Source organism: Homo sapiens, chromosome 6 (assembly GCF_000001405.40).
Source record: "Homo sapiens chromosome 6, GRCh38.p14 Primary Assembly".
NCBI classification, from domain to species: Eukaryota; Metazoa; Chordata; class Mammalia; order Primates; family Hominidae; genus Homo; species Homo sapiens.
The window spans coordinates 145529943-145547696 of NC_000006.12; the positions used below are offsets into that span (position 1 = coordinate 145529943).

The 17754-nt window shown below is 39.1% G+C and overlaps 1 protein-coding gene across 2 annotated transcripts in view, besides 4 other annotated features; it reads right to left on the reverse strand.

Moving 5' to 3' along the window:
• Positions 1-17754, reverse strand: part of EPM2A (EPM2A glucan phosphatase, laforin) — a 352671-nt gene that overhangs the window by 146590 nt on the left and 188327 nt on the right. The gene's annotated exons all lie outside the window — the stretch shown is intronic.
• Positions 461-1125: an enhancer, noted in NCBI's record as "OCT4-NANOG hESC enhancer chr6:145851539-145852203 (GRCh37/hg19 assembly coordinates)". NCBI's record gives its function as "activates a minimal SCP1, AML or CMV promoter by ChIP-STARR-seq in naive H9 embryonic stem cells {active_cell/tissue: H9 hESC(naive)}" and the evidence as "EXISTENCE:reporter gene assay evidence [ECO:0000049][PMID:30033119]".
• Positions 1126-1789: an enhancer, noted in NCBI's record as "OCT4-NANOG hESC enhancer chr6:145852204-145852867 (GRCh37/hg19 assembly coordinates)". NCBI's record gives its function as "activates a minimal SCP1, AML or CMV promoter by ChIP-STARR-seq in naive and primed H9 embryonic stem cells {active_cell/tissue: H9 hESC(naive and primed)}" and the evidence as "EXISTENCE:reporter gene assay evidence [ECO:0000049][PMID:30033119]".
• Positions 1803-2378: an enhancer, noted in NCBI's record as "OCT4-NANOG hESC enhancer chr6:145852881-145853456 (GRCh37/hg19 assembly coordinates)". NCBI's record gives its function as "activates a minimal SCP1, AML or CMV promoter by ChIP-STARR-seq in naive H9 embryonic stem cells {active_cell/tissue: H9 hESC(naive)}" and the evidence as "EXISTENCE:reporter gene assay evidence [ECO:0000049][PMID:30033119]".
• Positions 2379-2954: an enhancer, noted in NCBI's record as "OCT4-NANOG hESC enhancer chr6:145853457-145854032 (GRCh37/hg19 assembly coordinates)". NCBI's record gives its function as "activates a minimal SCP1, AML or CMV promoter by ChIP-STARR-seq in naive H9 embryonic stem cells {active_cell/tissue: H9 hESC(naive)}" and the evidence as "EXISTENCE:reporter gene assay evidence [ECO:0000049][PMID:30033119]".

Genomic DNA, 17754 nt, shown 5'->3' on the forward strand with positions numbered 1-17754 from the left:
ATTGCATGGGGTTATTATCATTATGTGATAAATTTGGTAAGAGACTCCTGAGAAGGAAACCACCAAAGAAAATGATCATCACTTTGAGGTTCAAAAAATAAACAAAGCGAATTCTCTGACTTCACTTACTTAGCCAAAGGTTCTCAACTTCCATCTGCTCCTTCCTCTGCCCAGTCAGTTCTGAAGCAGAGCTACAGTAGCTGAGGATATCAGCACAACCACCTCCAACAGAGGCCACCCTGTTTATGCCTTTCCCCTAATTAGGAAGTACAGTGGGATGCCTGTGGAGGGACCAGTGTGGCTGGAACAATCTGGGCTATTCCCTCTAGATCAACAAATGGAATTTATAGTCAAAAACAGAGGGATGAGAGGGTAATTGAATTTAAGGGTTTTAAAGTTTATTAACGAATTTACATTCGTTTTACTTCATTCACCATTATTGAATTCCAAATTAGTACACACCTAATACTGAACTGTGCTAACTAGGCACTGGGGGTGCATAGCAGAAGCCATTGATACAGAAATGTAGCAAGGGAAAGCTTGTTGTTAAGAGACAGGCAGACCTGAGCTTGAATTTCTACTCTGCTTTCAACTTACTACCCACATTATTGTGCCAGTTACTCAGTTTCTTTGAGCCTGAATTTCCTCATCTATAAAACAAAGAGGATTATGTCTCCCATAAAGAGCCATTGTGAAGAGTAACTGAGATCACACCTGTAATGTGCCCATAGCTGACAATCAGTAAAGAATACCTGCTCTCCCAAGGAGTTTACAATCCACCTGGGAGGCAGAAATTTACATAATTAACCATAATAAAATGTGATAAATATTATTAAGCAAACCTTATGGAAATAGAGACAAGGGAGTAATTAATTCTTCTAGAAGGGGTTGGCAAGGAAGGCTTTACAAACAAGCCTCTGGATTTTGCTGTCTGATGCTAGTATTGACCCACCACTCACCTCCATAACCATCAACTTACAAGCTTGCTCTTGTAGCTCCTCTGTAAAAAGTATATAACTAAATCTTTCCTTGATCCCACACCTCTCTATAGCTAATTGCTCATTTCTTTCTCTCCTTTGCAGCAAAACATAGAAAGATATGGTGTCTCCACTATGGGAGTTCCGTCAGGATGGTGGGAAAAATTTTAAGATGAAGTTATAGGATATAAACACAAATCTTCTTGGAAGGCTGGAAGGTTTTTGCAGAAGTCTCAGGATAGGATTCTGGCTGAAAGCAGCCTAATTCTTTGATCATTTGTGGGCAGGATGGCTCCCTGCAGGGAAGGTAACCAGGTTGATTACCCTCTAATGGTGTTGACTCAAAGCCTTTGTCATTTAATGTGTGCAGAATAAATGTTGGCATCCAATATAAACCCCAAGGAAAAGCCATAATAGAATGTGCCCATTCCATTCTTAAAAATATGCTCAAAACACAGAAAGGGGGATTATGGGTAAAGACCCTGCAACACTATTGGCACAAGCTTCATTTACCCTTAATTTTTAAAATTCAGATGACAAATTTCAATCAGCTGTAGAAAAGCACTTTGCTAAAACCTCTTAAGACATAAAACCTGCAGTTTTATGGAAAGATGTAAACAATAATGTATGGTGCGGTTCAAATGAATTGTTAACTTGGGCAAGAGGATATGCTTGTGTCCACACGCCCTCAGATCCTCTTTAGAGTCCAGCACAATGCATCACACCATACTATGGCATAGCTAAGACCCAACCCGGTACCATAAATGAAGGAACTGACCCTGCAGGACCTACAGCCCTGGATGATGCAGCTTCCTCAGGTGACACAGGCCCCGGACATTATGCTGAAGAAGACAAGTCAGAAGACTCAGCAAATTCTACTCCAGACACAGACACCATTCACTCCAGATAATTTATCCCTTTTTTATTCTCTCACTGTGCCTGCTACCTATACCTGTTACACTCTATTAAGCTCATCTTCTAAATCTGCCTTTTTTCAGCTCTGTTATCTGGGCAGACACTCCCTTCCCAGCTTCTAACAATGCGACTGCTTGGCTGGAAGGGGTTAACATACCCCCAGTGGGGTTCCTTAGTAACAGCACACATCAAACTGAAGTGCCAAGTAACACTACAGGTCACTCTTTGACTGGAAAAGAATGTTGCTAATTATACTCATGATTGTCTTATGTTATTTGCTAATTCTAGGATGCAAACCCGGAATAAGAACAATGACTGCCTCGCCTAACAGACCTGTTGCTGCCACATCTGTACATGTTAGTCAACAGAACCCACTGCAGAAAAAACAGAAAAGGGGGAGATGTGGGAGTTTAGTCAGGCTGGTGGGAAAAATTTTAAGATGAAGTTATAGGATATAAACACAAATCTTCTTGAAAGGCTGGAAGGTTTTTGCAAAAGTCTCAGGATAGGGTTATGGTTGAAAGCAGCCTAATCCTTACCTTGAGTAAATAACTTAGAGCAGATACATAGGAATGTAAAGGAGTTTATCTAAATAACTTATTTACTCATGTGGTCCTAAAACTAACCTTTGATCATTCACGGGCATGATGGCTCTCTGGGGGTGGGGGGAGGCAACCAGGTTGATTACCTTGTAATGGTGTTGACTCAAAGTCTTTGTCATTTAATGTGTGCTGAATAAATGCTAGCAGGGCCAGTGAGTCAGGGCCGTGGCTGCAACTCTTTACAGCACTCTCCTTGGAGTCTGTAAGTGGCCCGGACCCTCAGCTGGACTGACAAGCATAATATCTGTGTCAGTGTACATGATTCATCTGTTGTTGGGTCAGGGTCTGTGGGACAGACCCCCGTACTCCACCTCCCTGTATTCTTCAACCCATTCCCATCTGTCTGATGTCCCTTCCACTGAAATATTTTGCCCTACCTTGGCCACTCTTTTCAGGTTTCCTGGCTGCACTTCCTCGCGAACACCTAGTCCAGCTCTCTTCCTTTCTCTCTACATTCTCTCCTTTAGACTACCTATCTAGTTAGTCGCTTACTTCAAGTACAATTTGTCCCTTGATGACCCCTAGATGTATATTTTCAGCCTTAATCTCCCTCTTAAGCATCAAACTTATATATTCATTTGCTTATCTGACATGATCATATTGATGTCTAACAGGCTTCCCAAACTTAACAGGTCTAACACAATTAACGATTTTTGCAAACCTCCCCCAACAAAACAAAACACAACAAAAAAATACCTGTTTCTTTCTTACTCTTTCTTGTCTTGGAAAAGACTATCAGGAGTCATTGTTGATTCTCTTGTTTCTTCTCCCTCTATTTCTGATCCATCATCAAATCCTGTTGACTCTATTTCCTTGTTCATTTCCTTCCTCTCCTCTGTAACTACCACAGCCCAAGCTATTGCCATCTTTCACCTAGACTCCTGCAATAGCCTCATAACTCATCTTACAGTGTCCAGTTTTGCCCCACTCTTCTCTAATCTCCACCCAGTAGTCAAAGTAAGTCTCATAAAATGCAGATCATATGCTACTCCCCTTTTTAAAGCCCTCCAATGCCTTTTCATTTCTTTTGGAAAAATACTTCAGCTCTTTGCCAAGAACTAAAAATCCCTATGCTATCTGGCCCCACCTACTTCTCTGCCTCCATCCCCTACCCCATGCTCCAGACACAAAGTGTGTCTTTAATATCTCAAATGCATGAGCTCATTCTTGTTTGGGGAAAATTTGAATTTGTCCCTTGCAGTACTCCACCCTCAACCTCTTGCATGACTGGGTCTACTTCATATATCAGGTGTTAGTTCAAATGTCTCCTCCTCAGAAAAGTAACTCCAATCATCCTTCCCAGTAGATCCCTCCACCTCTCCCCCACCAATCACTTTCTGTCAAGCCCACCATTTGTCTTCTGCACATCACTTATTTCTTTCTGAATTTATGATATTTGCATGCTTGTTTATTGTTTCTCTCTCTATCTCTAAAACATAAGATTCAGGATAGATTGCATCTTGAGCTACCTGGTATATTGGTGTATCTCTAGCAACTAGATCACAGTATGAGATTTGAGAAACACATAATGGTTGCTGAATGAATAAAGATAGTTCTGAAAGCCTTTGTCAAGAGGAGTTGTTGGATTTATTAATTAAAATTAAACTATAAAATTTGTTATGGTTTCACTTACTTATTCTCTTTATTCCAATAATAAATATAATTGAGAATCTGCTGTTCGGTGAAAGGAGTGGTAATGTTGAAGTGAATTTACTCACAGATAATCTTTGTGCTCTTGCAAGAGTAGTCATCTGTTAATGGTAAGCAATAAGGGCACAATTTAGGCTGTCAGGGTACTTCAGCGTACTTCACCTGGCTCTGAATGGGGTCATGCATGAAACAATATATTTGAGGCATTTATTTACCTTGAGTGAAAATGAGAGTATACATTATTTTGAAACTTTCTCCTAGATCAAAAAGAAGTTCAAGACAATTCAGAAAGTTTTATATCTCTGCAAATGCTAAAGAAAACCATACCCATTTTACAGAAGTTAGCCTAGCAACTTAAAGGAGGGGGAGGAATTAAGAGATAATTGAAAGCAGTCATTTTTACAAAAACATATTCAAAGTAAATCAGGAACACAAAGCCTTTTCTAAGTTATGCACCTCTTAGGAGTCCACATGTATCTATGCAATGAAAGGTTCAGTCAATGCAAGCACGGGGGCCAGGTCCTCTGCAGCTGCAGGAAATTGGCTCACTTTTGGTGACGGAGCAGATGCACTAGCTCTCCTCCCTTAACTGCCCAGTGAGTGAAGCTTTTTAAAAGTCTAGTAATGCAGTTCTGATTTGCTCTATTTTGAAATAAATTGTACCTCATTTGTGATCTTGTGAAATCTAGGAAACTACATCCCTCATAAAGCGTCATTTGGTGATATATCTGCATCTGACTCTGAGACTAAAAGGCACAATAAGTTCAGTTTCCATGTCATCAAGTCAGGTTACCTAAAGCTTGTTTAGGTACCACCTCACCTCTAGGTCCAGTGTACTTTAGATGATCACCGGCAATGTTGAAAGAATGCTTCACTAACAGAGCAGGCACATGATATTGTGTCATTATCAGCCACTTCACACAACCAATTTGACATATGATCGCTCTTCATCTTTTTATCTCCTTCCCAGGTAATTTATTACTTTCATATTGAAAATTCAAACAACAGAAAAAGAATAGATGAATCTTTCTTCCATTGCCCCATTACTCCAAGCCAGTCAACAGCCGCACCCTTGGATCATGAGACACGCAGCATTAAACAAGCCAGGCAAGGCTCCAGAGAGTCCATTTGTAACATCTGTGTAACCATCGCTTTAAAATGGACAAACTAAAAGTTGCTTTATTAAATTCTGACAACCCTCAAACAAAGTGAATACAATTCAAGGTGACACTTACTGTCAAGGAAATCTTGCTTCTTCCAGGACAGTGTTTTTCAACACTCTGCACATTGCAATCACCTGGGGAGTTATTTTTTAAAATACATTGAAAGGTTATAATTTAATTGGTTTGAGGTGGGATCTGATTGTAGGTATTTTTTTAAAGCTCTCCCAGAGGTTCTGATGAGCTGCCACGGTTGAGAACCACCACAGTAGGTGGGTGAGCAGGCACCTCCAGCTTCCAGAAGACCCAGCGAGGAGCTTGACTGGGAAGTGCAGACCCCAGCTTTGCAGCACTGACTGTCAGAGCCAATAATAAGCAAATAAGGAACAATAAAGTAAGAAAAATAGCTCAATTAGCACTAAAAATCAGTGAGGTAAAGTAGATCCATTCTACAGTTAGAAGTTCTTAATCACAATTGTGTCATGTCTATAGTAATTTTGGGTAAATTAAATTAAGTAAAAATGCTCTGTTGTTTATAGTTTCAATTGGTGTTTGCTTCTTCTGATAATGCTCTTGGTAAGTTCACTTTCACTTTGTGAATTTACCTTTTCCAAATTGACTTTCACAGGAGTGGAACTCCCTGAGTCATTCCTCTGCCTGAAGCCCTGCTTTGATGTGTTTAAGGTAGGGGAAAAAATCCTTTTAAATGAACTTCAACACTATGTCAAAAGCAGTTTAAAAGTTAGAAAAATATTATCATAAAATTGCTAAAGTCAGTAATGTTTTGATGTTTCACAGCAGCACAATGAACAGTTGAAAGTATCGCTCAGTATGTATTTTGTGGTTCTTTGTAGCCTATTGGCTTTCCAACTTTATTCCTAAGAGTCCTTTTGGAGGGGCTTACTCTGTTTTGTTTTTGCCATTTCTTTACCCAGACTCTCTCAGTTCATTTCTAGGATAAGAAGTTTGATAGTTTGATTGTCTCCCTTCCCCAGGTTGGTTTTTTGTTTTTGTTTTTGTTTTTGTTTTTGTTTTGGTTTTTGGTTTTGTTTGTTTGTTTGTTTTTTGAGATGGAGTCTCACTCTGTCACCCAGGCTGGAGTATAGGTGTGCAATCTTGGCTAACTGCAACCTCCAGCTCCCAGGTTGAAGCAAGTCTCCTGCCTCAGCCTCCTGAGTAGCTGGCATTACAGGCCTGTGCCACCACACCCGGCTAATTTTTGTATTTTTTAGTAGAGACGGGGTCTCACCATGCTGGTCAGGTTGGTCTCGAACTCTTGACCTCAAGTGATCCACCCGCCTCGGCCTCCAAAAGTGCTGGGATTACAGGTGTGAGCCACTGCACCTGGCCCCTTCCCCAGGTTTTTATGTTCACTCACTCATTCACACAAACCTGGGCTGTCCACTTATGAAGCAGACACATTGGCCAACCTTGGTGGTCACTGAGCTCTCCCCTGAGAGTGGGCAAGGATTTGTGCAGTCATCCACACTCAGCCCCTTTGTCCTTCTTGGAACTGTGGAAATAAATGAAAACTAACCAAATGAGAAAAGTAAAGGCTATTTATTCAGAGCTTGCTATAGCAAGGGGCTCAGCCACCATCACTTGAATTTTGGCAGTGACTAAAAGGCAGACAGAGGAGTGGGAAAGCTTTATCGTGGAAAAAAGAGGAGGCTTCAGGTGTGCCCTGATTGTAGGTTGTTGGCATGGGAAAGCTGTAGGTGGGCTCATGAGAAGTGGGGCATCCTATGTGATTGGCTAGGGGTACATTTTTGGCTTTGTCTGGTTGGTCCTAAGTTAGATATGAGAACAAAAATTAGGGAAGCCATCAGCTATTAATCAAATTCTGGCCATTTGGGGCCAACTGTTACAGGAATTATTGTTTGGCATCCTGGATTGTTACTAGAGATAGCAGTTTAACTCTCTACAAGTCTGATTTATAGGAGGCTAGTTTCCTGGGTTGTATATGGTAGATAAGGAGTTGGTTTCCTGGATAGGTTGCTACAAGTTGTGGGTCAAAGTTTCCTTTTTATATATGGTCTCTCCATTGTCAATTTGTATATTCAATCTCTCGAAACCAATAGAACATGGGTTAGGGTGGCTATTTAACCCTGTGCTTTCCAGCCTGTCTCACATCCTGACTACGGTGATTAGACACAAATACTCTGATAATTATACTCATTAGACATAACTTATTTTTATAATGCAGAAACACTAGGAAATGGCCTAGAAGTATTCCTTTAGCTACTTCTTTTATTGTTATATACTTCTTGGTTATCCTAAGCTTTGGGTTAAAATATAAAGATGGACCTGAAGGCAGATGTTGTCCTACAAGAGGTTTTTTTTTTTTTTTTTTTTAACTTTAAGTTCCAGGATACATGTGTAGAATGTGCATGTACGTTACATAGGTATACATGTGTCCTGGTGTTTTGCTGCACCTATCAACCTGTAATCTAGGTTTTAAGCCCAGCATGCATTAGGTATTTGTTCTAATGCTCTCGCTCCCCTCACTCCCCACCCCCCGACAGGCCCCAGTGTGTGTTGTTGCCCTCTTTCTGTCCATATGTTCTCATTGTTCAACTCCCACTTATGAGTGAGAACATGCAGTGTTTGGTTTTCTGTTCCTGTGTTAGTTTGCTGAGACTGATGGCTTCCAGCTTCATCCATGTCCCTGCAAAGGATATGATCTCATTGTTTTTTATGGCTGCATAGTATTCCATGGTATATATGTGCCACATTTTCTTTATCCAGTCTATCATTGATGGGCATTTGGGTTGGTTCCAAGTCTTTGCTATTGTAAATAGTGCTGCAATAAATATATGTCTGCATGTGTCTTTATAGAAGAATGATTTATAATCCTTTGGGTATATTTACCCAGTAATGGGATTGCTGGGTCAAATGGTATTTCTGGTTCTAGATCCTTGAGGAATCACCACACTGTCTTCCACAATGGTTGAACTAATTTATGCTCCCACCAACAGTGTAAAAGCATTACTATTTCTCCACAGAAGAGGCCTTTTTTTTTTTACATGCTTTGAGTTCATGCACTGTGGGAACTTAATACATGTTTAGTAATAACTTGGAAATAAGAAGAACTTGGAAATAAGAGCTATGGAAATCAACATGCCTGAGCAAATAGATTTTGGATTTGTTTGAATGTAAATAAGAGAATACTCAGGCAGCTCTTCATCAAGAGCTCCTTACTGTCACACTCTCCATCCAATCTCTCCCTCTTGCTTCTTAGAGCATCACTTATCAATGACAAAGCTTGAACAGCAATCAGCAATTCTGGTTTCATGAAGTGGAGTAGGCTTGATCGCCTTTCCAGCTGAGCTCAGAGTTAATAGCTGACAAAGGCACAGGCCAACATATACTAAACAAGTAAATTGTATAATTTCTTTTGTTTTCAGAATGTGTAAGTATTGTAACAAGTATTGAACCAGATAATTCATCTGGGATAAATAAAATTGTTTTTATGCTAAGATTTAGTTTACAATTGACCCTAGGTTTAGCCAGTGAATGGTAGCCATATACAGTACTAAACTCTAGCTAAACACTTTTAAATACATTCTTTGGAGTAATTCACACAATCATATGGCACATACATTATTTCCATTTCACAGATGAAGTGTCTGAGACTCATAAAAGCTCAAGGGAACACAGTAAATACATTGCACAGCTTTTGTTCCATGTACCAGAAATCCTTGCTTAAGAGCACATGTAGTATGGAGTTACAGAGACAGCTCAACCCTCAGAGGCCAGGCACAGTTTTGTACATACGAGAGCCCTTTCCATATTAGCTAGCAAACTTTCCTTCATACCATCACCAAATGATAACATACACTGCATTATGATAATACAAGCATATATAATAAATTCCTTCTACACAAACACAGATCACATCATGCCTCAGGGAGCAAAATCATGGCATGTTTATCAATGCTGCTGCCAAAACTGTCACTAAGGATACAACAGTGCCATATTCCCCACTGTCACTTCAACTTTGTGGTTAATTTAAAATCACTTTTTTCTTTTGTTATCTTTAGTTCTCCTCCAGGCATCTTATCAGTACCTGTTTATATGTAATAAGGTAGGGGATTTTTATTTTTTAGAAGTTGACAGTAGCATTCATTGTACAGAGAAGAGATCCACCAATGCTCAAAAAATTACTTGAAACTCCTAGCTGTAGTAGAAGCTATGACCTTGGAGGGCCTAAATGTAAGGATTTGCCCTGCCAGCGATAAGGAGGAGAATTTGTTGGTTGCACTGGAGAGGGAGAACAGAGCTAGAGAAAGACAGAAAAGGAGAGAATGTCCATCATTGTTTATAATTCCTTATGTCTTTCCAAAACACTTCAAGCCTAAACTACCAAAACTCTCACTGTGATTGGAACTTATATGAAAATTGATGAAGGGACTATAGTTTTGGTCCCAGTCCAAAGAAGAAACAAGATAAAAAGTCAAACTTAATTGTATTAACCATGACTTTTTGTTTTCCGTATTTTGATGCTTTGATGTATGGGGTCTTGCTGATCCTGAAGGGCTACCTCTCCCAGGGTTAGCCAATTCCTAGGGATAGTAAACAATTCACCCCTAAGTACACCTTTCAAAGGACCAAACAATCCATGGTCCACACCTCCAAACTACCTTTCTTGTCAGGCTCTGGGCCACTATCCACCCACCTTAAACATCCCAGGGCCAGGGATTAGGCAACTCGAAACAGCTACTATGACTCAGAGCCTGGAATTATTCAAACTAGACAATCCTTCACCATTTTATCCTGCCTTGGCTGTTTCTTCCAGCAGAAACCACAATAAAGGCTCTTGCCTAAAGTGACCCCCGCCGTGTCTGCCTCCAGCCTGACCCTGGTGCTTCTCCTGTGGCCCCCATGGCACCATGCCCCCTCCTCTTGAGAACAGTGAGCAACAAACTATCTTTTCAATGACAATTGTCTCCTGATCTGTTGCCCTTGCTGTATCTCAAACTTTCTATTAATAAACTGAACTTTAAAACACTGGTGGAAAAAAACTGAAAGGAAACTACAAGGAAAGAATACATTGGAAGTTACTGATGCTGTGAAAGAGTTCTGAATTCTCAGATCTCAGCTTGGGTTGAGCCAAAATTACTTTAACCCCTGAGAGGGAAGAAGACCCCATACTTGGTTCTGAAGAAGTTATCTTTGCTTCCCCTCAGCACTACTCACCTCCCTTCCCCTGTTACTTGGTGTGAATCGCTAACCCAATAACAACCTCAACAAATTTTTTTCATGACACCAGGGATTCTCATATGTATGTTAGAATCCTAGAGCAGGAAAGGATCTTACCGTTGCACATTTTCAGCTCTGAACCAAAGCATGAATCTCCAATCCTAGACTTCTGGTCAAGTTTGAACTGAACTCAGTGATAAGTAAAGAATAAAATACTTTGCTTTTTAGGGAAATTTGTCTTTTACTAGTAAAGACGCATTTCAGAAAACAAATTTCAAACATTTTACAAAAATGAAAAAGATCAAAAACTAGGGGCGTGGTAAATTCAGAGTCCTAAAATCACTTCAAAATTTAAATTACTTAGAGGACAGGTGTATATGATAGAAATTACCTTCCATTTCCATTTAAAAGGATGTATTAAAATATTGAGTAACTATAATTATGCTAAATCTGTTCTCATCTCTGATTCATCACAAAATGAATGAGTAATTCAAAGCCAAATATAAATTTTGGCCTATAACTGGCAGAACTGGCAGCCTTTTCAATTGTATGTGAGGATGCAATACTCTTTAACATACACACATGCACACACATACATGCACGCATTCCATTTTCCCCCTAATTTTAAAGATGTGAGCAGATGTCTTGTGACCCAGAAAAAAGCATGTATGAAAACAGTTTAATCAAGAACTAAAAATAACTTTTTAACTATTTGGGAATATATATATCTGTGTGTGTGTGTGTGTGTGTGTGTGTGTGTGTACCAAGTATATGTGTAAATATATAATTATATAACATACATACATATATAATTATATATGTGTGTGTATATATATAAAAAACACCAATTTGTGTGTGTGTGTATATACATATATATGTGTATATATATGTGTGTGTGTATATATATATATATGATCGGTGTTCTATATTGGAATAAATCATTAATGGTAAGCCATTTAAATAAATGAAAATACTTTGGGTTATTTTTACCCAGCAAGCTGAAATTTTCTCAAAGCAAATTTGTATGTAAACAATCTATGTTGTTCAACTTTAAAAAAATTAATGATTTTGTAAGTACATTACCTCATTTTCAACAAATGCTTCCAAAGTTGCCAATTGAAGGTGTCAAAACGAGTCAAGAATTCCTGAATTTTCATCTTTGTATTCTCAGCATTGGCACGGTTATCTGTCATATTGTGGATACTAAAGAGATGTTTTTAATGACTGAATGAAGCAGAATGAAGAATATACTTGCAATGATGGCCATAAAATGATGAGGATCCTCCAGAGGCAGATATGAGACAAATTAACATGAGTATCTTTAATTTTGATATATTATGAAAAATTCTTGTGCACAGGAATCCGCCCAAATGACATAGAACTCTGATTGATTTCTGTACCTTGAAAGGCACAGAAAATTATATAGCAGAACATTATACATTTCCAAGTAATATGTCGATTTTTGGATAATTTTTCTTACCTTTTTTTTAAAACCTCACTTTTACATATGAGGAGATGATGCTTAAAAAAAAAAGAGGCAAGGCTTCTCAAATAAAGCATAGAATTGTTTGAAAGGAATTGGAGACCAATGTGCAATTAGTAGAAAACATTATCAGACTACAATATAAAACATAACTGAAAGGAAAACATTGAGTTAGAAAGTCAAAAGTCTATGTCTTCACGAGCATATAGGCACTAAAGCTTCTGAATATTTCTTCACCATGAAAAGCACTGTTAAAGATCAGAAGGCCATCTTTTTTCTCTGCTTCCCAAATTTCATGTGGGATGCTTGCATCCACCTTTCTAAATTCCCTTTGCCATAACAACTGGACAGATTCATCTCTTCTTCCTCTTCAAAAAGAAAGTTATGGCATGCTGACACAGCTTGCCTTTTCCTGGTGGACAAGTGGATTTCAGCGATGAGTGAACAGTCATGCATCCTGGATTGGGGGCTATACAAAGTCATCTTCAATTCTGACTGAAGTGTCCTTCAAGATGTCCAGGAAAGGGGCAGCTTAAAAAACATATGCAGGTGAAAATAGTATGAGAAGATGTTGGAATATAACAAAGTCAACTGCTGAGGCAAAGACATTTTACTGAAAGCCAAAAATAGTCAGGGAATGAAATACTTTTCATAAAGCCAATTAGAGCATATTCACCTGATGTCATTTGGTAGGTAATTGAAGCCAGGGACCCTTGTTAGTCCCCTCTGGACAGTCAAATGTTGTTTTGGATTCTTTAGTCTATGATACTTGGCTTTATTTTTTGTTAGTTTGTTTGCTTCCTTCTGTTTTTTTCTGTTTTTGGTTTTGTTTTGTTTTGTTTTTGAGAAGGAGTCTCACTCTTGTTGCCCAGGCTGGAGTACAATGGTGCAATCTCGGCTCACCGCAACCTCTGCCTCCTGGGTTCAAGTGATTCTCTTGTCTCAGCCTCCCGCGTAGCTGGGATTACAGGCACTTGCCACTACTCCCAGCTAATTGTTGTATTTTTAGTAGAGACGGGGTTTCTCCATGTTGGTCAGGTGGGTCTCGAAATCTTGACCTCAGGTGATCCACCAACCTCAGCCTCCCAAAGTGCTGGGATTACAGATTACAGGTGTGAGCCACTGCACACAGCCAGCTTCCTTTCGTTTTTGTATTTTGTTTTGTTCATTATGTTTGCATTTCTCACCAATTCTCATTGCTATATTAGATTTATGAGATTAAAAAGATGAGCAATATGGCCTTAAAAAAGATATAAACAGAATAGAAGCAAAGGATGCTCTTTTTTTTTCTTAATCACGAAGAATGAATGGCACTTACAGTAATCAATACAGTCAAAATAAATTACCATCAGTTCAAAGAATGATTAGTGAATCCAGAAAGGTGTCTACACAAGCAAAAATAGCATTATAAAAATAATAAATCTAGGCCAGTGTCAACGCCAAACCATAGAATGGAGAACATAGCCTCTTGTCAAAAAAGGTCTTGATGGAAGTCACCCAAAAAACCTTCTCATTTTCCAGATGAGAATTCTGCAGCTCAGAAACATTAAACGACTTGCCCAAGGCCATACAATTAATTTTGGTAGAACTAGAAAAAAAAATAAAGTTTACTGGTTCCAAATCACCTGCTTTTTCTATCAAAACAGGGTCTTTAATAATTTAAAGAAAAAAAAGTATTTGTTTTATATTTAGTTTTTCATCAAAGAAGGGGTTTCTTCAGGATATGGGAGAAATGTGGATATTAAGAATATATTCCAGGCAACTCCTGAATACTAAGACATTGACTGTATTGATTACATGGATTGTAGATTTTCCAGACCACTCATTACATTGGTCTTTGTCATGTCCTTTCTCTCCACTGGGCCATTTTCCCCCTAGATTTCCAAGAACTGTGAAAGGAAAAAGATGGATGTACACTCCAGTACAGTTTGGGACTTGTTAGTGGCTCACTTGGAAATCTTAAAGGAACATTGAACGTGGGGAGCCAAAATGGGATGTTGTATTTCTCAACTTTACCAACTTCTGAAGACATTTATTTAACAATTAGCTATAATTAATCTTCCTAATTTTGGTGACAAAAATTGATGAGAAAAAGTAAAGCTTCTGGTCAGTCTCATGGTGACTGAGCTCTGCTGAAAGAAAATGGACAAATTATTAAGCTAGAGTTAAGTCTGGCAGAGGAAAATTCAGCAGGCAGAACCCAGAAAATCAAACTGAACAGGCTGAATTGTCTGATGAATGAGTCAGAAGTGGGTCTGATTCCCTAACCTCCATCAGAAAGGCCACAGCAAGCTTGCTGCTCACAGATTGCTAAGCCGCATTGGCTGCTGGCAGAGGACAAAGTCAGTGAAAGAGTGAGTCAGACTCCACCTGGGTTTGTGAATTTTTTGCAGTTTGCAACCCCATTTTCTCAATAACTGGGCTGCTGACATTTATTTGTTCACTCTATTAATAAAAACCATGCTGCTCTCAGCTCAGTAACATTGGACAGAACATAGTTCACTGCTTCCTTGGAAAAAGCAAAATAGCCAGCAATCAGAATTACCCAGAACTAATTGGTAAATTGTGTGGGGAGAGTACAGGTTATCAAGTTCAGGATCCAAGTTCAGTCACAAAGTGTGCGTTAGGCAGAAAGCCTGACAAACATCCTGTACTAAAATATTATAAATTGGTTTTTTTTTCTTCCTAATAAAAGTGATAGGTTTAGTGCTTTTTAACAGCAGAAACTGGTATATCTGTGGCAACCTTGAAGCCATAGCAGGATGTAGGATGATGAATCACTTCAAAAGGAGTGGCTTTTGCTCAGATCAGCCCACCGGCAACAGGTCTTCTGAAGCCTGGACTAGTATTGCTTTTTTTGGAGAGAAATAGTAGATGCTCAGCAGCTTGGCTCTTTTCCTGTGTGGGTTCCCAGGGTAGGACCCCTGACTAACTTTTTTCACCAAAATAACAATCTTCATAATCACAGACAAAATGACATGTATCACTTGAAAGCTTTAAGCATATTCAGTTGTGTTTAGAATCATAAGGTTGAACAACATTGCTAGGATCTTTGGTTAAAATACCATCTTGGCATTGCCTTTTCCCTTACCTCCACATTCAATAAATCTTCTACATTATCACTTGTGAAGCCTAAGTATCTCTGAAGTCTATGCAGTTCTTTCTATCACCTCTACCATTATCATAATCCAGTCCACCATTATCTTCTTCCTAGACCACTAATTTTCCTCCTTACATTCACTCTTATTACTTAGAAAGAGCTGCAGTGAAATCTCAGTGGCTTACAACAACCACCATTTGTTTTTGTCACTTGAGGTCAGTGGGCTGGCTTAGTTCAGGTCTGCTGTATGTTTCATCCTTAGACCAGTGGCTGTGTGGGCATACTCTTCTAATGACTTGTGCAGAGTCAAGAAGCCAAGTCAAATCATACAAGCACAGCTAAAGCCTCCGCTCATGTCACATCCACTAACATTCCGTTGGCCAAGCAAGTCACATGGCCAAACCTACCATCAAGTACATGAGGAAACATATTCCTCGTAAAATAGTGGGAGAGGATGCAAAGTCACAAAAGTAAGGATCTATCATTCTATAACTGTGAAAGAAGTTCAGAATTAGAAGTGATAATACAGTTCACCACACTACTTATTCTTTCTTCCCCAAGTCATACCAGAGAGTTCTTTTAAGTAAATAAATCTAAATAAACATGTCACTCCTCTCCCCATCCACCTTAATGGCTTCACTACCATTACAATAAATGTGCCCTATAGAGCCCTGCAGGACCCGAGCTGAGCTGCTCATTGCATCTACCTCACCTCTTAGGATCTTTCTCCTCTACTTCCCAGCTCCAGCCATACTAACTTCAGTTATAACAAACTCTTTCCCAACTAAGCTATTTGCTTATGACATTCATTCTGTCTGTAACAACTTTCCTTCCCTTTTTCTTCGCGTACACTTAGATCTGAAGGGTGTCACTTTCTCAATTTTCCTTGACCAAGGATGTTGAGTCTGCTTGCTAAATACTCTCTGAATGCCTTCTAATTCTCCCTTATTGCTCTTATCACATGTGCTAGTCAGGGTTCTTTAGAGCAACAGAATCAATAGGATATGTAGATGTATATGAGAGGATATTTATTAGGGGAATTGGCTCATGCAATATGGAGGCTGGAAGTCTCACTATCTGTCATCTGCAAGCTGCAGAACTAGGGATGCCAGTGGCATAGCCCAGTTCAAGTCTGAAGGCCTGAGAAACAGGGATGCCTACACTGTAACTCAATCTGAGACTGAGGCCTAAGCACCTGGGAAGCTGCTGGTGCAAGTTCCAGAGTACAAAGTCTGGAGAATCTGGATCTCTGATATTTGAAGGTGGAAGAAGATAGGTAACCCAGCTTTGGGGGAGAGAGAGAGAAAGAAAAAAAAGTTCTTCCTTTTCTCTGCCTTTGTGTTCTATCTGGGTGCTCAGTTTATTGGATGGTGCCTGCTCACATCAGTGAGGGCAGATCTTCCTTACTCAATCCACTGATTCAAAGTTCAATCTCTTCCAGAAATAGCCTCACAGACATACCCAGAAATAATCCTTTACCAGCTCTCTGGGTATCCCTTCACCAGTCAAGTTGACACCTAAAATTAACCATCACATCACAATTGTAATTAATTTATATTTAGTAGTCTAATCATTGTCATGATTGCTAAAATGTAAGCTCCATGATTGTAGAAACAGTGTTTAGTTGAGGGAGTGTGTTATTTTCTTATCTCCAGTGTTTTGTCATAATAAACACTGAAACATATATTTATGGAATGAATTAAGGCAGTAAAATAATATAGATATAGACATATAGACACAGATTCCTATATTCCCATATATAAGATTGTATACATTTTTCCTTCAATGATCTTCCCTCCTCATTTTACCCCTTCAATACTTCTTTGTATACTAAAACAGAAGAGTTTAGAATTTGGAGCCCTGTGTTTACATCTTAGCTCTGCCATTTAGTAGCTGTGTAGGTCAATAGTTTAATCTTGTTGAGCCTTTCTTACTCTATAAAATAATAATTTCTACTTTGCAAGGCTAAATCAGGTATGCATAAACAAATACTCAACCAGTTGTTCCCTTCTCCATTCTTGCCCTGTAGCCTGGTTACCATGCTGGAATACTGCAGTTTCTGCTGACATTTTCACCTGGACTTGCTGACAGCTATAAATAAACCAAACCTATCAACTTTCTATCAAAATTCACAACCCATCCTAACCTCTATTCTGGTTAACTTTTCAACAGTTTCAAATTCAAAATCTGGAAAGCATTGTCCACTAAGCCTTCCTCTGCCCTCTCCCCTCAGATGTACTGTACCCACTCCATCTCCTTGGTCTTTTCTAGTCCCTCTACACTAAACTAACTCTGGCTCTCCTTCTTCTGAGACTTCTCCTGGGTTTTCCAGTAACTCCAGGCTCTGGTCACTACAGTTCAGTGGCCACATTTATGTTGAGCAGATATTCAATCAAAAATCCCCAATGATAAGCAAAGTGCATCAGCTGACCACACAATATGTGCATCATAATGAAACTTTTATGGGTTTAAGCCTTTGGGTGTACATGGAAGCACATTCTACAAGAAAAACAACAAAATATAGATTCTATCTAAATGAACAGGATCTGAAGCTCTGTGTACTGGATTGAATAATATATACCTTGTAAAATTATGTTACACATTTTTACTGTATAGGCTACCTTGATGAATAGAGACAACTATATCTGTTTGACATCTGCCTAAC